The sequence below is a fragment of the Homo sapiens genome, chromosome 11 (assembly GCF_000001405.40).
Source record: "Homo sapiens chromosome 11, GRCh38.p14 Primary Assembly".
NCBI lineage: Eukaryota > Metazoa > Chordata > Mammalia > Primates > Hominidae > Homo > Homo sapiens.
Genome location: NC_000011.10, coordinates 50,186,529 through 50,210,325, shown reverse-complemented (window position 1 = coordinate 50,210,325; position 23,797 = coordinate 50,186,529). Strand labels below are relative to the sequence as shown.

Genomic DNA, 23,797 nt, shown 5'->3' with positions numbered 1-23,797 from the left:
ATAGATGATAGATGATAGATAGATAGATAGATAGATAGAGATAGATAAGTATAAATGGAGAGAAAGAAAAATGTACGGATAGATATATGGATAGATGGATAGGGATAGATACATAGATATAGATCAATGGATGGACACATAGATGATAGATAAATATGTATAGATGGAGAGAGAAACAGATGGATAGATAGATGGATAGAGATAGATAGATAAATAGATAGAAATAGATGGATACAGAGATGGATAGATGATAAGCAGACAGATATAGACAGATGTGAAAAATACATATATATGTATATGTGAAGTTATAAATATGTATACATGTAGCAATAAATATGTATATATGTATTTGTACACATGTGTGTGTGTGAACTCTCCATGCATCCTGGGTTGTCAGAGACAAGAGGGAGCCCAGCAGAAAGTACCTGCTGAGGGAGACATGAAAACTATGAATTTTGAATGTGTTCCCCACACCACACAGATCCATAGCACAGCATAAAACATTTGGCATTTGGAAGCATTTTGTACTTTTCTGTTTGTTTTGGGTAAAATTTTGTTTGTAGTTCTATGTGTTTAGGGGGTGCAAGTGCAGGTTTCTTAGAGAATATATTGTGGAGTGGTGAAGTCTGGGCTTTTCCTGTGCCCATCACCCAAATAGTGAACATCGTACCCAATAGGTACTTTTTCAGTCCTCACCCCCTCCCAGCCTCCCACCTTTCATAGTCTCCAATGTCTATTATTCCCTCTGTATGTCCATGTCTACCCATTGTTTAGCCTCCACTTACAAGTGAGACTGTGTGGTATTTGGCTTACTGTTCCTTAGTTATTTCACCTAGGATTATGGCCTCCAGTTCCATTTGTGTTTCTACAAAAGACATGATTTTATTTCATTCTTTGTAATGGCTGAGTAGTATTTCATGATGTCTATATAACACATTTTTAAAATCCAATCTTCCCTTGATGGGCACTTAGGTGGATTCCACATCTTTTCTATTGTGAATAATGCTATGATAAACATACAAGTGCAGGTGTCTTTTTGATATCTTTATTTTTAGAGGCACTTTGAAGCATGAGTGGACTGTGGGAAGGCAGAGATCCATCCGTGAGAAGGGCATTTCAGGCAAAAGGAATGGCCTGGACAAAGGGGTGACAGTGTAGAAATACATGGTGTGAATGAGGATAAAATGCAACAAGCTCCATTTGGCTTGAGCAAAAAATACTGCAGGAGAGAAAACTGGATGCAGTTAGGGCATGAATCAGAAATAAGTTCAACTTCTTAAAAGGAAGCAATGAAACTTATTTCCATCATATCTGGGAAGTGAATAAAGCCCAGACAGTTTAAGGTATCAGTTTGAAGAACTTGAGTGTCATGTTTCATGCCACTGGTCCTCTGGGGACTGTGTTGAATAAATATTTAGAAATAGTGTTTCATGAGTATGGCTGTTAATTAAATATTAAGGAGTTATCATGTAATTGCCTGATGGATTCTTCTCCCCTACTGCACAGATACAGCCAATATACCAAGATAGCAGTATTGTAACAGAGAGTTTAATAAACACAGCTAGCTAAGCAGGAGATAGGAGTTTATTACTCAGATCAGTCTCCCTGAAAGCTTGGAAGCTAGGGTTTTCATGGATAATTTGCCTGGGAGGGGCTAAGCAGTGGTTGCTGCTTATTGGTTGGAGATAAAATCATAGGGGTGTGGAAAACAGTCCTCATGAGCTGAGTCAGCCCTTAGGTGGGGACCACACGACTGGTTGAGTCATGAGTCATGGGTCCAAATGGAGTTAGTTGTAAGAATGCAAAAGTCTGGAAAACATCTCAAAAGGCCCCCCTTAGGTTCTACAATAGTGATGTTATCTATATGAGCAATTGGAGAAGTCATAAATCTTGTGACCTCTGGCTTCAAGAATCCTGAGTGATTAGGGATTATAAGCAAGCAAGCTATGGAACAATGGTGGGTTATTATTTAACTATGCCTACATCTTAGCAGAATTCAGACCCCTCCTATAATCCCAATCTCCGTGGCCTTTCATGGGTCTTACAAAGGTGGTGTCAGTACTGGGACAAGGAGGAGGTCAGTTTTAGAAAGGGACTCTTATCATCCTTGATTGAAAGTCAAACTATAAATTAAATTTCTCCATGGTTAGGTTGGCCTATGCCCAGGAATGAACAAAGGCAGCTTGGAGGTCAGAAGCAAGATGGAATCAGTTAGGTGATATTTCTTTCCCTATCATAATTTTTCTATGTCACGTTTCTCTCACTGTCATACTTTTTGCAAAGGTGGCTTCAATTATAATGAAGATACCTGAGCTACAACATTTCCAAGTTTTATCAGCATCTTTTCTAGAGATTAAACAGGTGCTGCAGAGTTGACCTTCAAACCCATAGGTGGAATGAACAGAAGCTCGTGCCTGGCCCATGAAATGAGCCCATGAGAAAAGGTGACATGTCCTGTGGGCTTCCATGAAGTGTCTCTAGCAGTCATAGTGGCAGCATTCCAGCAGAGGGTTGCTGAGGGCTGCAGGATAGAAAATTCCCAAAGCAATGGTTTCTTCCAGTAGTGCAGTGGAAGCCTTCTCCTGCAAGAAAGAAACCAAAGCAAAGATCAGAAACCAAAGCAAAATCCACAGTGAGAAAATTTACAGGCACCTCCCCGCAGAAAGCCAAACATCAGGAACCAGAAAAGAAAGCTTCCTAAAGAAGCCAGAGAAGTCGAGACTAACCCCACCTGGCTGGAATTTCTAGAGACAAATGTTAAACCACAGCCTGAAAATGCAGTCGCATGTTTCAGCCTGGTCTTATCCTCTAGGTGAGGTTAGACCCTGCCTGCCTGGTCTCATGCTTATTACTCTGCACAATGTAGGTGGACAAGAAATACCCCTGGAATGACCTGGGAGAGGAAAACAATGCCATCTTCATTTCAATTTTCAGAAAGGGGTTTGCAAGAAAAGTACATTTGTCCAGGAATTGGGAGGTCTGAGTGCCATAGCCCAGTACACAGGCTATGGAAACAGCAAATTTGAGCTCCAATCCAAAACTCTGTCTCTGAACCAGATTGAGACAGGGTCCCAGGCCATGTCAACCTGTCATACTAAATCAGAAATGTGGTCTCTGCTCTGGACTTCTGCTTTGGTGGTTTGCCCTTGACATGGCAGGTGATATGCTGATCCTGGCCTCATTGAATAAATAGTGAACAAATATTTAAAACAGATACAAGGCTGGGTATGGGTGGCTCACACCAGTAATCCCAACACTTTGGGAGGCCGAGGCAGGAGGATTGCTTCAACCCAGTTTGAGACCAGCCAAGCAACATATCGAGACCACTATCTCTGCAAAATAAAAAAAAAATTAGCCAGGTGTGGTGGTGCCCACCTGTAGTCCCACCTACTCATAAGGCTGAGGTGGGAGGATTGCTTGAGCAGGGGAGGTCGAGGCTACAGTGAGGTATGATCATGCCACTGCACTCCAGCCTGGGTGACAGAGCAAGACTCTGCCTCAGAAAAAAAAAAGAGAGACATAAACATTTTAACATTATTTTATGAAATGTCATAAAAAATAAAAATTACAAACGTATCCTGGGTGTTCTGCCTGCTCTGCTCTGCTTCTTCTTACTGGGTGATCTTAGGACAGTTGTTTAATGCCTCCAAGTCTCACTCTTCTCATCTGCAAGAATGTAATAGGTCCCGTAATCCCAGCACTTTGGGAAGTGAGGCAGGTGAATCACTTGAGGTCAGGAGTTCGAGACCAGCCTGACCAACATGGTGAAACCCCATCTCTACTAAAAATATAAAAATTAGCCCGGTGTGGTGGTGGGTGCCTGTAATCCCAGCTACTTGGGAGGCTGACACAGGAGAATTGCTTGAAACAAGTAGGCAGAGTTTGCAGTGAACCGAGATCACACCACTGCACTCCAGCTGGGGTGACAGAGTGAGACTCCATCTCAAAAATAAACAACAACAACAAAAAGAATGTAATAGGAAGTGCAACATTTTTCCTAAGGCTGTTCAAGGGGTGAGTGGTGGGTGTTCTGTAAATTGTGATTATTCATCCCTAGCTCTGCCAGTAAGTGTTTGCTCTTACATAACTCACTTTTCCTTTCCGAAGATCAGTGTTCTCACGTGCAAAGTGTGGGGTTCAGACCAGACAACCCCTAAGAAGTAAAAGTGAGCTTTCTGCTTTTCATTGTGCTGTGTTTCCAAAGCAGCACCTGGTGAGAAAGCAATCACTACCCCACCTGGCAGCAGGAAGAGAACTAGTGTCTCAAGGTTACTGTGTTAGTCCATTTTGCATTGCTATAAAGAAATACCCAAGACTGGGTAATTTAGAGAGAAAAGAGGTTTATTTGGCTCATGGTTCTCCAGGCTGTACAAGAAGAATGGTGCCAGTGTCTGCTTCTGGTGAGGACTTCAGGAAGCTTCCAATCATGGCAGAAGGTGAATGGGGAGCCAATGTATCACATGGAGAGAGAGGAAGCAAGAGAGAGAGGAGGAGGTTCCAGGCTCCTTTAAACAACCAGCTCTTCATGCCTGTAATTCCTACACTCTGGGGGGCCGAGGTGCATGGATCACAAGGTCAGGAGATTGAGACCATCCTGGCTAACACAGTGAAATCCCATCTCTACTAAAAATATAAAAAAATAGCCAGGCATGGTGGCAAGCGCCTGTAACCCCAGCTACTCATAAGGTCGAGGCAGGTGAATTGCTTGAACCCAGGAAGTGGAGGTTGGAGGGAGCAGAGATCGCACCACTGCACTCCTGCCTGGGTGACAGAGTGAGACTCTGTCTCAAAATAAATAAATAGAAATATAAATAAATAAATAAATAAATAAATAAATAAATAAATAACCAACCTGCTCTTCAGTGAAGTAACAGAGCAAGAACTCACTGATTACCTTGGGGCAAGCACCAAGCCATTCATGAAGGATCCACTCCATGACCACACACCTCTAACATTGGGGATCATATTTTGACATGAGATTTGGAGGGGACAAACTTTCAAATTATATCAGATACTTAGTGTTCTTTCAGATGAAAGTTGAGTCTCTAACCTCCTTGATAGCCAAGATACGCAAAACCGGTTCTCATAACTTTCAAAAGTGAATTAACTGAAAAGGCAGACAAGGGAATTTTGTTAGGTGATTTGTTGGAAGAGAAATCCTTAGAGGGTTTATTTCTCCTTGGAGCATAATGTCAATTATTATTAATAGCTTAGAATATACTCTTGATAATATTAAGGAAGTAGTCTCTAATTCTTATATGTCTTTATAAGACTTTAAAATAATAATGGATTGACTTGATAAAACACCCTTTAATATCTACTCATTTATTGATTTATAGACTCATTTTTCAGAGATGTAATATAAGCTATAGTAATATATTAATGTTTTTCTTAATATTGATCACTTCCATACTTGGGACAAACCCTTTGTGCTTTTATATTATTTTAATGTATCATTAAATTCTACTTACTGACATTGTTATTAATCACATAGTTTTGTATTCACAAGTGAGATTATTCTAAAACACTTTTGATTATCTTGGTCAGGGTATTGGGAACAGGAGCATCTACCTTATAGGATAAATCTTATAGCTTTCTGTCTTTTTGTAAAGACAGGGAGCAGAAAACACCCACATTAAATATTTCTCATTTGTTTCATTCCTTAGTATAATTTCAAATTCTTATTTGATCTTACATCAATTTGCCATTGTCGATTTATGTTATGTAAAAATAATACATCTCATTAAGATATTTCATTAATAATATAATTATGTATACCTCATAATTGCATTTATAATAATGCATTAAAAGTGCATTATTATTTTCTATTGTTACACCTCCTTTTTTCTCTCATGTTTTGAATCTTGCTAGTGTTTTAGTTCTTCTTCTTTTTTTTTTTTTTAGATGGATTCTCACTCTGTTGCCCAGGCTGGAGTGCAGTGGCATGATCTCTGCTTACTGCAACCTCTGCCTCCCGAGTTCAAGCAATTCTCCTGCCTCAGCCACCCAAGTAGCTGGGATTACAGGTGTGCACCACCAGGCTAGGCTAACTTTTGTATTTTTAGTAGAGATTTCACCATGTTGGCCAGGCTGGTCTCAAACTCTTGACTTCAAGTGATCCACCCACCTCTGCCTCCTGAAGTGCTGAGATTACAGGTGTGAGCCACCACCCCCAGCCCCAGGTATTTTAGTATTTTATTTAATATTACTATTTATTTACTAATTAATATTAATAATATTATTTAATTTTATATTTAGTATAATATTTTATACTAAATAGCTAGTATTTTAGTTATGCTATTAATCTCTTCTAAAATACATTTATTGCTAGGTTTCATGGTTTCATGTTGTTTAAGTAGACACTATAATTATTTTCTTTATTTTTAAATTTTAGTTAGAATGCTTCATTTTGTTTATTTTCACCTTTTTATTTTATTACAAAATATTCAAAGCTAAGAATTTATTTTGGAGTCTTGCTTTAATCACACTGCAGTCATTCATCACTTAAAAATAGAGATATTTTCTGACAAATGCTTTGTTCAGCAATTCCATCATTGTGTGAACATCATAGAGTGAGCTTACACAAGGCTAGATGGTAGGGCCGACCACACACCTAGGCCATATGGTAGAGCCCACTGCTCCTTGGCTACAAATCTATTTGGCATATGACTGTACTGAATTCTGTAGGCAACTGTAACACAATGGCGTTTGTGTATCTAAACATAGAAAAGAAACAGCAAAAATGCATTATTATAATTTCATGGGAGCACTGTCATAGAGTTCATCACTGATCCAAGTGTCATTATGTGGCATATGACTGAATATATGTTTGTATAGTGGTTTTGGTGGCAGGGGTTATTTGTGTGTGTGTGTGTGTGTGTGTGCGTGTGTGTGTCTGTGTCTGAGACAGAGTCATACTCCGTTGCCCAGGCTGGAGTGCAGTGGTGTGATCTCAGCTCACTCCAACCTCCCTAGCTGGGATTACAGGCATCTGCCACCATACCCGGTTAAGAAGATCTTTTTTGATCTTCTGCAAATGACTCTATTCTAAGTGCAGCTCAAATATTGGCAGACTTCATCAATGTTTGGACTAGACATCACATGGACACCAAATCAGTGGCAAATTCCCTTCTTTTCTACCCTGGTTTCTCCTTTGGCATCATTTCACCCCAAAATATTTCTGTTCATCTCTTTGGTGGGCAGAATAATGGTCCCCTAAAGATGCCCAAATCCTAATCCCCAGAACATGTGAATATGTTATCTTACATGGACAAAAGTATTTTGCAGATGTGATTAAGGTTAAGGACTTTGAGATGAGGGTATCATCTCAGATTATCCAGGTGGGCTCAACCTAATCACATGAGTCCTTAAAAGAAACTTTTCCAGCTGAGGTCAGAGTCAGAGAGAGAGGCTGGGCACAGTGACTCATGCTTGTAATCCCAGAACTTTGAGAAGCTGAGGCAGGAGGATCGCTTCAGCCTAAGAGATTGAAAGCAGCCTGGGCAACATAGCAAGACTGTCTCTACGAAAGAAAAATTTAAAAATTCACCAGGCATCATGGTGCATGTCTGTAGTTCCTAGCTACTTGGGAGGCTGAAAAGGGAGGATCACTTGAGCACAGGGGTTGAGGCTACAGTGAGCTATGGATAATATCCCACCTGGATAATCTGAGATGATACCCTCATCTCAAAGTCTTTAACCTTGATCACATCTGAAAAATCATTTTGTCCATGTAAGATAACATATTCACACGTTCTGGGGATTAGGATTTGGGCATCACTGCACTCCAGCTTGGGCAACAGAGCAAGACCCCATCTGAAAAAAAAAAAGTCAGAGAGGGAGGGGTGATTATGGGAGAATGGTGAGAGAGATGCAATGTTCCTGGATTTGAAAACAGAGAAAGGGGCTATGAAGGTGCACATTACATTGTTGTGCACCTTTAATTGCCACAACTCACTCCAGTTCTCTTTTCTTCCCTAAACAATCATTTAATGTATCATTTGTGTGTCTCACCTTTTGAATGTGTTCTTACAAAATGCACATTTTAGTTTTGTGTGCATGCAATTTTTAATTTCTGTAAATGACATTGATATAGAACAATTCACTTGCATAAGAACTAGTTTTTTTTTAAGATATAAGCTTGTATCTACAGCCATTGCTCCTAACTACTGCCTAGTAGCCCATGGTATAAATTTATTGTGGCTGACCCCTCCACACTTTTAATGTACAAAATATTTAACCCTTGAACAACATAGGCATGACCTAATGAGGAGGTTGCCTCAATGCTGGGCTGGAGCTGGATCCCACAGGCTCCTGAAATTCAGAATTTAATCTTAAATTGCTGCAGCAGGAAAGGTTAGGGTAGGTTTGCAGGGAAGATGGAGAGGCATTTAGTAGGCTGGGAAGCAGCTAGTTATCAACCCACATGACATGAGGACACTGTTTCACTATTTCAACAACCCGTGTGGCTGTATCATGCCTATCAGCTGAATATTACCCCTTGTGTTAGTCTTTTATTGTGTTGTTTAAAGAAATACCTGGGGCTGGATAATTTAAAAAGAAAATAGGTTTATTTGTCTCATGGTTCTATGGACCATACAAGAAGCATGGCACCAGCATCTGCTCCTGGAGAGGCATCAAGAAGATACCAAACATGGCAGAAGATATAGAGAGAGCTGGCATAACACGTGGCAAGAGAGAGAGCAAGTGAGGGAGAAGAGGGAGTTTCCAAACTCTGTTAAACGATCAGGTCTCACATGAACTAACTGAGTGAGAGCTCACTTATCACCAAAGAATGGCGCTAAGCCATTCATGAGGGATCCACACTCATGATCTGATATGGTTAGGCTTTGTGTCCCCACCCAAATCTCCTCTTGAATTGTAATCCCCAGATGTTGAGGAAAGAGACCTTGTGGGAGGTGATAAGATCATCAGGGTGGTTTTCCCCATGCTGTTCTCATGACAGTGAGTGAGTTTTCATGAGATCTGATGGTTTTATAAGTGTTTGGCAAGTTTCTCTTACGCTCACACTCTTTTCTGCCACCTTGTGAAGAAGGAGCATGCTTCCCCTTCTGCCATGATTGTACGTTTCCTGAGGCATCCCCAGCCATGCTGAACTGTGAGCCAATTAAACCTCTTTTATTTACAAATTACCCAGTCTCGGCTAGTATCTTTATGGCAGTGTGAGAATGAACTTATACATGATCCAATCACCTCCCACCAGGCCCCGCCTCTAACATTGGGGATCATATTTCAACAGGAGATTTGGAAGGGACAAGTATCCAAACTATATGACCCCTGCCTATCCTGACCTCTCCACTTCTAGTAATGAATTCCCAGGAATCCTCCAACTTCCCCACCATAAACCATAATGCAAAAAACTTCCTTGTACAAGTCCCATTATGGACCCTGAGATAGATACCAGTCAAGGAATTTCTGAGGCATGTATATGCATATATATAATTTGCATGAGTAACATCACAATGTCTGTACCAGTCCACCCACCCACCAACAGAGCATGTGGCCTCCCACAGCCCCACCAGCTATCTAATTGTCACCTAGTCCAGTAGGCATGAAGAAGTAGCTCACTGTGGTTTGAATTTGCATTTGTCTTATTTCTAATTACCAGGAACCTTGGGCTCTCATTTTGTGGTCAAAATCTTGGTGGCTTCCCATTCTACAAACATCCTTTTCATAGCAAATCTTCTCTTTTTTAAAAAATGGGGTTGCTCTCTTTTTATCACTTATAGGCAGGAGCTCCTTGTACAGAAGCGTCAAGGTATTTGTCAGAGGTGCTATCTCCTAATGCTTCCACAACTACAAGTTCTCAAAGTGTCAGCCCTGCACTAAAGACTGTGTCAGGATGAGGAGATTGGCTCTCTGAGTGACTCTGCTTCACACACTTTGGGATCACCTGGACCCCAAAGTAACACTGTGTGTGCTCAGAGTCTCTAAAAATCTCTCTTTTTTTGAGACAGGGTCTCGCTATGTTGCCCACGCTGGAGTGCAGTGGCATGATGATGGCTCACTGCAGCCTCAACCTCCCAGACTCAAGCTACCCTCCCACCTTAACCTCCTGAGTAGCAGGGAATACAGGCACACACCACCATGCCTGGTTCATTTCTGCATTTTTTTTTTTTTGTAGAGACAGGTTTTCACCATGTTGCCCAGTCTGGTCTCAAACGTCTGAGATCAAGCAATCCACCTACCTAGGCCTCCCAAAGTCCTGGGATTACAATGCACCAAGCCCAAAATCTCTTAATGAAAGCCTTTATATGACTTCTGTGCTGTCCTTCACCCACTGGCTGAAAAAATAGGATTGAAACAAATACCACTGAAACAGCCACATTGAAAGAAAGGGACAGTACTTTGTAGTCTAAAGTAAACCATGTCTCAGCCAATCAAAATGCCATTATGGGTATGGAGCCAAGATGGCCAAATAGTAACAGCTCCAGTCTACAGCTCCCAGCATGAGCGACACAGAAGACGGGTAATTTCTTCATTTCCAAATGAGGTACCGGGTTCATCTCACTGGGGAGTGTCAGAAAGTGGGTGCAGGACAGTGGGTTCAGTGCACCCAGTGTTAGTCAAAGCAGGGCGAGGCATCACCTCACCCAGGAAGTGCAAGGGGTCAGCAAATTCCCTTTCCTAGTCAAAGAAAGGGCTGACAGATGGCACCTGGAAAATCGGGTCACTCCCACCCTAATACTGCACTTTTCCAATGGTCTTAGCAAACGGCACACCAGAAGATTATATCCCGTGCATGGCTCGGAGGGTCCTATGCCCGTGAAGCCTCACTCATGGCTAGCACAGCAGTCTGAGATCAAACTGCAAGGTGGCAGTGAGGATGGGGGTGGGGCACCCACAATTTCCAAGGCTTGAGTAGGTAAACAAAGCAGCTGGGAAGCTCGAACTGGGTGGAGCCCACTGCAGCTCAAGGAGGCCTGCCTGCCTCTGTAGACTCCACCTCTGGGGGCAGGGAATAGCCAAACAAAAGGCAGCAGAATCCTCTGAAGACTTAAATGTCCTTGTTTGACAGCTTTGAAGAGAGTAGTGGTTTTCCCAGGATGCAGCTGGAGATCTGAGAACAGACAGAATGCCTCCACAAGTGGGTCCCTGACCCCTGAGTAGCCTAACTGGGAGGCACCCCCCAGTAGGGGCAGACGGACACCTCACATGGCCAGGTACTCCTCTAACACAAAACTTCCAGAGGAATGCTCAGGCAGCAACATTTGCTACTCACCAGTATCTGCTGTTCTGCAGCCTCTGCTACTGATACCTAGGCAAACAGGGTCTGCAGTGGACCACCAGCAAACTCCAACATACCTGCAGCTGAGGGTCCTGTCTGTTAGAAGGAAAACTAACAAACAGAAAGGACATCCACATAAAAAACCCATCTGTACGTCACCATCATCAAAGACCAAAGGTAGATAAAACCACAAAGATGGGGAAAAAACAGAGCAGAAAAACTGGAAACTAAGAATCAGAACACCTCTCCTCCTCCAAAGGAATGCAGCTCCTCATCAGCAACAGAACAAAGCTGGACGGAGAACAACTATGACGAATTGAGAGAAGGCTTCAGATGAACAAACTACTCCGAGCTAAAGGAGGAAGATTGAACCAAAGGCAAAGAAGTAAAAAACCTTGGAAAAAAATTAGACTAATGGCTAACTAGAATAACCAATGCAGAGAAGTCCTTAAAGGATGTGGTGGAGCTGAAAACCAAGGCAAAAGAACTACGTGATGAATGCACAAGCCTCAGTAGCCGATTGGATCAACTGGAAGAAAGGGTATCAATGATGGAAGATAAAATGAATGAAATGAAGTGAGAAGAGAAGTTTAGAGAAAAAAGAATAAAAAGAAATGAACAAAGCCTCCAAGAAATATGGGACTATGTGAAAAGACCAAATCTACGTCTGATTGGTGTATCTGAAAGTGACAGGGAGAATGGAACCAAGTTGGAAAACACTCTGCAGGAAATTATCCAGGAGAACTTCCCCAATCTATCAAGGCAGGCCAACATTCAAATGCAGGAAATACAGAGAATACCACAGAGATATTCCTCAAGAAGAGCAACTCCAAGACATGTAATTATCAGATTCACCAAAGTTGAAATGGAGGAAAAAATGTTAAGGGCAGCCAGAGAGAAAGGTCGGGTTACCCACAAAGGGAAGCCCATCAGACTAAGAGCTGATCTCTTGGCAGAAACCCTACAAGCCAGAAGAGAGTGGGGACCAATATTCAACATTCTTAAAGAAAAGAATTTTCAACCCAGAATTTCATATCCAGCCAAAATAAGCTTCATAAGTGAAGGAGAAATAAAATCCTTTACAGACAAGCAAATGCTGAGAGATTTTGTCACTACCAGGCCCGCCCTAAAAGAGCTCCTAAAGGAAGTACTAAACATGGAAAGGAACAACCAGTACCAGCCACTGCAAGAACATGCCAAATTGTAAAGACCATCAAGGCTAGGAAGAAACTGCATGAACTAATGAGCAAAATAACCAGCTAACATCATAATGACAGGATGAAATTCACACATAACAATATTAACCTTAAATGTAAATGGGCTAGATGCTCCTATTAAAAGACACAGGCTGGCAAATTAGATAAAGAGTCAAGACCCATCAGTCTGCTGTATTCAGGAAACCCATCTCACATGTAGAGACACACATAGGCTCAAAATAAAGGGATGGAAGAAGATCTACCAAGCAAATGGAAATCTAAAAAAGGCAGGTGTTGCAATCCTAGTCTCTGATAAAACAGACTTTAAACCAACAAATATCAAAAGAGACAAAGAAGGCCATTACATAATGGCAAAGGAATCAATTCAACAAGAAGAGGTAACTATCTAAATATATATGCACCCAATACAGGAGCACCCAGATTCATAAAGCAAGTCCTTAGAGACCTAGAAAGAGACTTAGACTCTGACACAATATTAATGGGAGACTATAACACCCCACTGTCAACATTAGACAGATCCACGAAACAGAAAGTTAACAAGGAAATCCAGGAATTGAACTCAGCTCTGCACCAAGTGGACCTAGTAGACATCTACAGAACTCTTCACCGCAAATCAACAGAATAGACATTCTTCTCAGCACCACATCGCACTTATTCCAAAATTGACCACATGGTTGGAAGTAAAGCACTCCTCAGCAAATGTGAAAGAACAGAAATTATAACAAACTGTCTCTCAGACCATAGTGGAATCAAACTAGAACTCAGGATTAAGAAACTCACTCAAAACCACTCAAGTACATGGAAACTGAACAACCTGCTCCTGAATGACTACTGGATACATAATGAAATGAAGGCAGAAATAAAGATGTTCTTTGACACCAACGAGAACAAAGATACAACATACCAGAATCTCTGGGACATATTTAAATGTGGGGGACACATTTAAAGCAGTGTGTAGAGGAAAATTTATAGCACTAAAGGCCCACAAGAGAAAGCAGGAAAGATAAAAAATTGACACCCTAACATCACAATTAAAAGAACTAGAGGAGCAAGAGCAAACACATTCAAAAGCTAGCAGAAGGCAAGAAATAAGTAAGATCAGAGCAGAACTGAAGGAAATAGCAACACAAAAACCCTTCAAAAAATCAATGAATCCAGGAGCTGGTTTTTTGAAAAGATCAACAAAATCGATAGACCACCAGCATGACTAATAAAGAAGAAGAGAGAGAAGAATCAAATAGATGCAATAAAAAATGATAAAAGGGATATCACCACCAATCCCACAGAAATACAAACTACCGTCAGAGAATACTATAAACACCTCTATGCAAATAAACTAGAAAATCTAGAAGAAATGGATAAATTCCTGGACGCATACACCCTCCCAAGACTAAACCAGGAAGAAGTTGAATCTCTGAATAGACCAATAACAGGCTCTGAAATTGAGGCAATAATTAATAGCTTACCAACCAAAAAACATCCAGGACCAGTTGGATTCACAGCCAAATTCTACCAGAAGTACAAGGAGGAGCTGGTATCATTCCTTCTGAAATGATTCCAATCAATAGAAAAAGAGGGAATCCTCCCTAACTCATTTTATGATGCCAGCATCATCCTGATACCAAAGCCTAGCAGAGACACAACAAAAAAAGAGAATTTTAGACCAATATCCCTGATGAAGATCGATGTAATAATCCTCAATAAAATACTGGCAAACTGAATTCAGCAGCACATAAGCTGAATCCAGCTTATCCAGCATGATCAAGTGGGCTTCATCCCTCAGATGCAAGGCTGGCTCAACATACCCAAATCAATAAACGTACTCCAGCATATAAACAGAACCAATGACAAAAACCACATGATTATCTCAATAGATGCAGAAAAGGCCTTTGACAAAATTCAACAACACTTCATGCTAAAAACTCTCAATAAATTAAGTATTGATGGGACGTATCTCAAAATAATAAGAGCTATCTATAAAAAACCCACAGCCAATATCATACTGAATGGGCAAAAACTGGAAGCATTCCCTTTGAAAACTGGCACAAGACAGGGATGCCCTCTCTCTCCACTCCTATTCAACAGAGTGTTGGAAATTCTGGCCAGGGCAATCAGGAAGGAGAAGGAAATAAATGGTATTCAATTAGGAAAAGAGGAAGTCAAATTGTTCCTGTTTGCAGATGACATGATTGTATATCTAGAAAACCCCATCATCACAGCCCAAAATCTCCTTAAGCTGATAGGCAATTTCAGCAAAGTCTCAAGATACAAAATCAATGTGCAAAAATCACAAGCATTCTTATACACCAATAACAGACAGAGAGCCAAATCATGAGTGAACTCCCATTCACAATTGCTTCAAAGAGAATAAAATACCAAGGAATCCAACTTACAAGGGACGTGAAGGACCTCTTCAAGGAGAACCACAAATCACTGCTCAATGAAGTAAAAGAGGATAGAAACAACTGGAAGATCATTCCATGCTCATGGGTAGGAAGAATCAATATCATGAAAATGGCCATACTGCCTAAGGTAATTTATAGGTTCAATGCCATCCCCATCAAGCTACCAATGACTTTCTTCACAGAATTGGAGAAAAACTACTTTAAAGTTCATATGGAACCAAAAAAGAGCCCACATTGCCAAGTCAATCCTAAGCCAAAAGAACAAAGCTGGAGACATCACGCTACCTGACTTCAAACTATACTACAAGGCTACAGTAACCAAAACAGCATGGTACTGGTAACAAAACAGAGATATAGACCAATGGAACAGAATAGAGACCGCAGAAATAATGCTGCATATCTACAACCATCTGAACTTTGACAAACCTGACAAAAACAAGAAATGGGGAAAGGATTCCCTATTTAATAAATGGTGCTGGGAAAACTGGCTAGCCATATGTAGAAAGCTGAAACTGGATCCCTTCCTTACACCTTATACAAAAATTAATTTAAGATGGATTAAAGACTTACATGTTAGATTTAAAACCATAAAAACCCTAGAAGAAAACCTAGGCAATACCATTCAGGACATAGGCATAGGCAAGGACTTCATGTCTAAATCACCAAAAGCAATAGCAACCAAAGCCAAAATTGACAAATGGGATCTAATTAAACTAAAGAGCTTCTGCACAGCAAACGAAACTACCATCAGAGTGAATAGGCAACCTGCAGAATGGGAGAAAATTTTTGCAATCTACCCATCTGACAAAGGGCTAATATCCAGAATCTACAATGAACTCAAACAAATTTACAAGAAAAAAACCAACAACCCCATCAAAAAGTGGGTGAAGGATAGGAACAGACACTCCTCAAAAGAAGACATTTATGCAGCCCAAAGACACATGAAAAAATGCTCACCATCACTGGCCATCAGAGAAATGCAATACAAAACCACAGTGAAATACCTTCTCACACCAGTTAGAGTGGCAATCATTAAAAAGTCAGGAAACAACCGGTGCTGGAGAGGATGTGGAGAAATGGGAACACTTTTACACTGTTGGTGGGACTGTAAACTAGTTCAACCATTGTGGAAGTCAGTGTGGTGACTCCTCAGGGATCTAGAACTAGAAATATCATTTGATCCAGCAATCTCATTACTGGGTATATACCCAAAGGATTATAAATCATGCTGCTATAAAGACACATGCACACGTATGTTTATTGCGGCATTATTCACAATAGCAAAGGCTTGGAACCAACCCAAATGTCCAACCACGATAGACTGGATTAAGAAAATGTGGCACATATACACCATGGAATACTATGCAGCCATAAAAAATGATGAGTTCATGTCGTTTGTAGGGACATGGATGAAGCTGGAAACCATCATTCTCAGCAAACTATCCAAGGACAAAAAACCAAACAACGCATGTTCTCACTCATAGGTGGGAATTGAAAAATGAGACCACATGGACACAGGAAGGGGAACATCACACTCTGGGGTCTGTTGTGGGGTTGGGGGAGGGGGGAGGGATAGCATTAGGAGATATACCTAATGTTAAATGAGGAGTTACTTTGTGCAGCACACCAGCATGGCACATGTATACATATGTAACTAACCTACACGTTGTGAACAAGTACCCTAAAACTTAAAGTATAATAAAAAAAGAAAAAAAAAACCAAAATGCCTTTACGTTGTATCAGTCCAGTAGAGTTATCAACCCAAACAATCCCCTCATTAGCAGTTACAGTATTATAGTACTTCTACAACGTCCATGATTTTTCACTTCTTTTTTTAAAAAAAACCTCAAGTTCCCCACCCGTGATGATTTTCTTAGACTCAGCTCTCTGTGGTCTCATAATAGGAATTTGGTGAAGAAAGAGCTTCATGTGCAAATAAGATGGGGAAATCTAGATTCAGTAAACTATTTTTTTAATGAGTACTTTCTCATTATGCACATTATGTGAGTTTTAGGAACATAATTGAGGAAGCGTTAGTGTTGGAAAATGAGCGCTAGTCTTAGAGGAAATAGTTCTCTCCTCTCTTCCCTAGCACGTATCATGCTGCAGCTTGGGCATAACCATGAATGGTTCTGAAGCCTCAGTTTCTGAATCTTCAGAATGGGGCCATAATATAATTGTGTATAAAGGCAGGGGATTTAACAAGGTGTTTGACTGACTTTCTGCTCAAGCCTAAGGTGCATTCATCTCTAAACCTTTCTTCCTCTGATCCTTCAGCCTCCCACTCAGCCCTTGTGGAAAATATTTGATAGAAAAAACTGAGATGCCACAGCAGCTGTGGACAGTAATGCTTGAAACAAAACCTTTGTTGATTTAGTTGCATTTCTGTAAACCCCGGATGGGATGCTGTTGGAAGCCCAGTAGTAATTGTACATCTGGACTTCCCACGGCCTGCTCCAACAGGCAGTCACTGGCAGAACCACGTGCTCCATTGACACAGACCATGTTTCCCATCACAGCTTATCTGAGCAGTGTTGAATGGTCCAAAGTTATTATTTACAGCTCAGTGAGGATAGGGCAGAGAATCAGAAACTATGGATGAGATCCATGCTGCAAATGCTACTCATGGAGGATGACAGCATCTGAGATGCCTAAGGAGCAGAGAAAGGGATTCTTAGCAACTCCTGATGTCTCAGAGAGCCACACAAGCTATGCTTCCCACCCTCCAGAAGGCTCCTCTGCTGATTGCAGCCAACATTGATTCCTTCCCTTCCTCGCCGACCCTATTCCATATTAGGGTGACCAGCTCATCCCAGGTTGCCTGGGACTTTCCTGGTTTTCATACTGAAAGTCCAGTGTCCCGAGAAACTCCTCAATACCTGGTAAGCAGAGCTAGTGGGTCACCTTACCCATACTGTCTAGACGAAGCATTTTTGTCATTGACTATATCTGGTTACAAGTGTAGCCACACTAACATCAAACACTTACTGGGTGTCTAGTGAGTACACTGTGCTCAACTTAGAGCACACACTGCCCTCATCTGATTTTTTTCTCTATTTTCCACAATGTGTTACAAAATGCTTTTTATATACCTAGCATTCAGATCTTGTTTTCTATGTGCCATTGTCCAAAAAACAAAAACAAAAACAAAAACAAAACAAACCCAGTGCTTCTTGGGAAAATGGTTGATTCCAGGACTGGGGCAAGAAAAGTAATAATATGAGCCCGGAACATTTTATGATGGCAGAAAGTAAGGCAATGTTCAAGAAAATGTAGAATGAGAGAGCACCTCAACAGAGTACAAAAGGCTAGGCGCACTGCCTGTAATGCCAGCACTTTGGGAGGTTGAGGCAAGAGGATCACTTGAAGCCAGGAATTCAAGACCAGCCTGGGAAACATAGGGAGACCCTGTCTGTATGAAAACTTTAAAAAATTAGTCAAGAATGGTGGCATGCATCTGTAGTCCCAGCTACTCCAGAGGCTAAGGTGGGAGCATCACTTGAGCCCAGGAGTTAGAGGCTGCATGAGCTAACATTGTGCCACTGCACTCAAGCCTGGGCAACAAAATGAGACTCTGCTTCTTAAAAAAAAAGTAAAATAAATAAAATAAAAATTGCTGATTAAGGCCTGGCACAGTGGTTTACTCCTGTGATCTGAGCACTTTGGGAAGCTGAGGTGGGTGGATCACTTGAGGTCAGGAGTTTGAGACCAGGCTGGACAACATGGTGAAACCCTCTCTCTACCCAAAATACAAAAAAAAAAATTTTCCCATTACCACAGGGGAAAAAAAAGCACAGAAGACAACTTTAAGAAGAAGCCCCTAATGAGGCTGGGCATGGTGGCTGATGCCTGTAATCCTAGCACTTTGGGAGGCCAAGGTAGGTGGATCACCTGAGGTCAGGAGTTCAAGACCAGCCTAGTCAACATGGAGAAACCCCGTCTCTACTAAAAATAGAAAAATTAGCCAGGCTCAGTGGCAGGTGCCTTTAATCCCAGCTACTCAGGAGGCTGAGGCAAGAGAATCACTTGAACCTATGAGGCAGAGGTTGCAGTGAGCTGAGATCGCACCACTGCACTCCAGCCTGGGTGACAGAGCGAGACTGTCTGAAAAAACAGACAAACAAACAAACAACAACAACAAAAAGAAACAAAGAAAACTATTGAACTAGTCATCTTAATATTTTAAAAAATGCTTATTTATATTTTATCATGCTTTTAAAAAATGCTTTTGGATACTTTGTTGCTATCCTATTTTGATTACATATAGGAATGGAGCCATAAACTTCTCACTGCCTCATCATTCGAAGGATATTCCTTTACCTCAGGTTTCCTCTTCTCTCTCTAGTCTATATCTGGGAGAGGTACACATATACTCAACCATTTTATTACATTGGGCATACCCAAACATTTTAATATATTTGTGCTGATATACGTAGGAGCTAGCTTTTGACTTATAGCAAATTTTTCCCTTGAAATAATTTAAGGCCATAAGTATCTATGTCTGTTGTGTTGGTTTATTTTTTATCTGTGTCCTTTCAGCCATTTTTCTATATTGTTCTATGTATTATCAAGTTCACAGACCCTGAGGACTTTTGGGCTTTTCTGGCATGTTGTTTGAAAAAAAAAACAAAAAAACAACAAAAACACGACTCAAAAAAAGTAGAAAATTGGCCAGGTGCAGTGGCTCATGCCTGTAATCCCAGCACTTTGGGAGGTCGAGGAGTGTGGATCACGAGGACAAGAGATTGAGACCATCCTGTCTAACACAGTGAAACCCTGTCTCTACTAAAAACACAAAAAATTAGCCAGGCGCAGTGGTGGGCGCCTGTAGTCCCAGTTACTCTGGAGGCTGAGGCAGGAGAATGGCCTGAATCTGGTAGGCGGAGCTTGCAGTGAGCCGAGATTGTGCCACTGCACTCCAGCCTGGGTGACAGAGCAAGACTCTGTCTCAAAAAAAAAAAAAAAGTAGAAAATTAATTACAAATGCATTGGTGGTAAATTTTTAAAATATAATGAGACTCACAGGTTTTCCAATATCTGATATTGTCTTTACAGTATGAAATTGATGTACAGCAAAGCACACCAGGTACATGCTCATGGGGACAGACTTCTTGAAAGTTGTTTGATTCCATTTATCATCCACTGACTCTTCTTTCTATTGAAAAGATCAACTTTTATCTATCAAAAGATCAATCATATACATGCAAGACAAACAAATAAACGATTGCCCCAAACCTTGCTTTCTAGTCAGAAGTCCTTTGTCAAAGCTTAGAGGTCACATTGTTTGTGGTGATGTTGAAAAGACTACAGGAAAATTAACTTTGTTTTTAGAACTGTGAAAAACTGACTGAATTACACACTGTATTAGGTTTTTCAGGGAGAAATAAAATTTTGACTGGACTATCAGTTGAATAGGAGTTTATCTGTCTACAGTAAACACATCATGCTGACTATAATATTTGAGAATACTGCGATCTCCTAATGAAAAACAGGCTCGTGCTCAAGTATTTTCTGATTCGACTGTGCAGAGGGCAATTGCTGTACCCGGTGTCGTGGAACATTGGCTTCTCTTTTCCATCTTTCATTGTCTACATCAAAGACTAAAGGTATGGCCACCAAAGTCCGTGCCTCGGTCTCCATGGACAGAGAGACGAATTCTATTGCTTGACACAACTACTGACCTATCTGGCTTGTTTTGTCCATGTCTGCTCTGCTGTCCTCACTGTCGATCACCTATCCTAAGACTTCTACCATGAATACTTGCCCAATTCCTGCTTCCATTACTTAATCATTGCCACATCTCCTGCAGTCACTCTATTTGAGATGGCTTCAAAAGAGATTAAGTGAGGGAGGCTGGACTAGAATGGGTGCTGCTGATGCTTCAAGCATGTGTGTGCGTGCCGGTGTATAATTGTGGTGGGGCTCCAGGCTACATTACTCTACCATAAAAACCTAGTAGTGTTAGTTTTGATCTCCTAAGAACCCAGAATATTCCCCTTCTTCCAGGACTACTATCTGGATCTAGTAGAAGGTGAAGTGTAACTCTGCACAGTGAAACGGCCATAAGGGAAGATCTTAAACAGAAGTGGGTGAATTTGCCATTTTTCCCCCCACCTTCATCTAGATTGGTGTGTCATACTTTAAGTTTATCCTTTCCTCTTTCTTCTCCAATCAAACCTTAGAAGAAAACACATTGATAATTAATTCTCATTGAGGCAGGGATGGCTGCTAAGAGTACATTTTAATCCTCTGAAGCTTTTATTTGCTTTATTTTGTTGTTGCTTTTTCAAGGAATACTTTATCATTTAAAAAGACAAATTTTAATGATAATATTTCAAATAGTGGATCAGAAAGATGGGAGACATAATTTGGGGCTGGTGTCCTTCTCATTATTATACCTAAAGATGAGCCTGACCCTTTTACATGTCAAATTTATAAAGTATGTAAACCTCAACTTTGAGGTACCCTAGGTAACAACATTATCCATTATGGAGATAAGAGGCAATAGCAGAAAAAAGTGTTTTATGTTAATGAATAATTAATACAGGCAGAAATTATCAGCCTGTTATTTTTTCTCTTTTTTAAATTTAATTAAATTAATTTATTTGTTTATTATACTGGGATACAGGTGCAGAACGTGCATGTTTGTTGCATAGGTATACACATGACATGGAGGTTTGCTGCACCCATCAACCCGTCATCTATATTAGGTATTTCTCCTAAAGCTACCCCTCCTCTAGCCCCCCAGCCCTTGATAGGACTTGGTGTGTGATGTTCCCCTCCCTGTGTCCATGTGTTCTTATTGTTCAACTCCCACTTATGAGTGAGAACATGCAGTGTTTGGTTTTCTATTCCTGTGTTAGTTTGCTGAGAATGATGGTTTCCAGCTTCATTCATGTCCTTGCAAAGGACATGAACTCATCCTTTTTTACAGCCTGTTATTTTTTTCTCCAGACATTTAATAAGCACTTCCTATCACCAAAGGAGTCTATGGGCAGAGTATTTCCTGGAGTTTGCTTCCACAACCCAGTATTTAAGTGATTTTTTTATAGTAGCTTTATCTTTAAAAAGAAAAAAACTGGGTTTATAGTCACCTGAAAACTAAGTACTGAGTAGCCCTCAAATATTTTCAAGTCTGTAATTCCATTAGTTTGCCATTACTGTAATTTATCATGACTCACTCAGGGATTCTGGCAGCTAAGCAGAGCTCAAGCTGATGTATGTGTCTATGGCATTGTCTCTTGTGTAGAAACACCAATGTGGCTTTCTTACTGGACTGTGATATCTTAAAAACTTCCAGGACTCAAAGAAAAAGATTGCCAAAATGTATTTCACTCGGCTAAATAAACTATTAGTGCACATTTAGTTTTAGAATTCAATGGGTTTTCTTTCACCAAAAATCAGGTAATTGACCTAATGTTGTCAACAGACTCTCTGCATAAACAAAACATTTAAAAAATACTTACTGCCACTGGCATATGTGAAAGTGCTTCATATTCTTTGGGATGGGTGACAGATATTGTATAAGTTGCCTTTTTGTTGGGCTTATCAAAACAAGGAAAGAATTTCCTGGCATCTGTTGGTTCATGATCAGTGGCCGCTATGCTCCTTAGAAACAAACACACAAACAAAATGCATGCTGCCTCTTCTGACAACCCCTATGTCTCTATTCCTAGGGAAAAATAAATCAGCTATGCAATTATAACTATTACAGTTCTAAAAATGAGGTACCATCTAGAAAATGATCAAATATTTGTCAAAGGTTTTCCTGGAATTTTTAGGTTAACAAATTTTTAAAAAATCCTGAGACAGATTGCTTCAGATATTTCATTCACATATTTATTTGTCAAAAACCGCAGTTACTTTTGCACCAACCTAACAGCTATTTTGGTGCCACAACTAAAAATCTGTGGAGAAGCAAAAATAAATCCAATTATGAGCTAGTACTCTCTCCACCCCAAAGCCATTGAGCAACAAGTAGATAAACACAAAGCCAAACTCAAAAGCTTGTGTCTAACTGCCCTTATGGGAAGTGAACAGCTGTCTTCTGTCACAGAGTGATGTTTATTCCAGAGTCCCCAGTCCCTGTCCCTAATGACACATTCTTTGTTATTTATGTTACACCAGGGACAAAACCCTAGTTTCATTTCCATGTAAAGGCAGTGCTGAGTAATCTCTTAGATGAAGTAACCTTTGTCTTAGTTTAAAGCTCACTCTTAAAAAGAGAAAACAGCATTTTATTTTTATGGCTCTAACTAGGCTTATACTTGTGTAAACTAAAATGTTAATGTTTAGTATTTTCATAATTTCAAGGTGAAAATATTATTTTCTGAGTAATTGCTCAAAAAAACAATAAACATACACTTTTTACATGTAAATGTATTACAGTAAGAGAATATTATATATTTGCTTATTAGAAAATGAAGCAAAGTAAAAAGTATAAAAAAGAAATGGTAATTTCTATTCATTAATAATTTGTGTAAGGAAAAATTTTGTCTTTCAGGATTCTTGAAACTAAGGAAGACATATCATAAACAATATCAGGCTAAGTTATTACATCATCCATTCATCCAAGAAATATTAATTGATCCCCTTCCACACACGCACATGCACACACAAGCACCTATGCATGCATGCACACATGTGCAGACATTTGTCTAGCTGCTGTATGAAACTGCCTTTGCAAAATTATAACAGAGGAAATTATGAGAGTGAAAAAAGTCAGACCTAACCGACTCCATCTTGCTTTTAACCTTCAAGCTGTACTTGTTCAGTCCTGAGCACAGGCTGAACTAATTTTGGGAAGGAATTTGGTTCATGGTTTCACTCTGAAACTAAATTGATAATAGCCCTTTCCTGAAAAGACCTCCTTCTTCCCTAGGGACCAGTCTGCCTTTGCAGAACTAACAAATTAGGTACAAGATTAG

General features: G+C 40.4%; 1 long non-coding RNA gene and 1 pseudogene across 1 annotated transcript in view; both read right to left on the bottom strand.

The window, feature by feature from the left end:
* Positions 1–1,023: 1,023 nt before the first annotated feature.
* Positions 1,024–23,797, bottom strand: part of LOC124902811 (uncharacterized) — a 25,053-nt gene continuing 2,279 nt past the window's right edge. The window contains exon 2 of the long non-coding RNA XR_007062972.1: positions 1,024–2,582. This is a non-coding gene — a long non-coding RNA (uncharacterized LOC124902811). The remainder of the gene's footprint in view (positions 2,583–23,797) is intronic.
* ENPEPP1 (ENPEP pseudogene 1) overlaps positions 19,892–23,797 on the bottom strand; it is a 20,546-nt pseudogene continuing 16,640 nt past the window's right edge.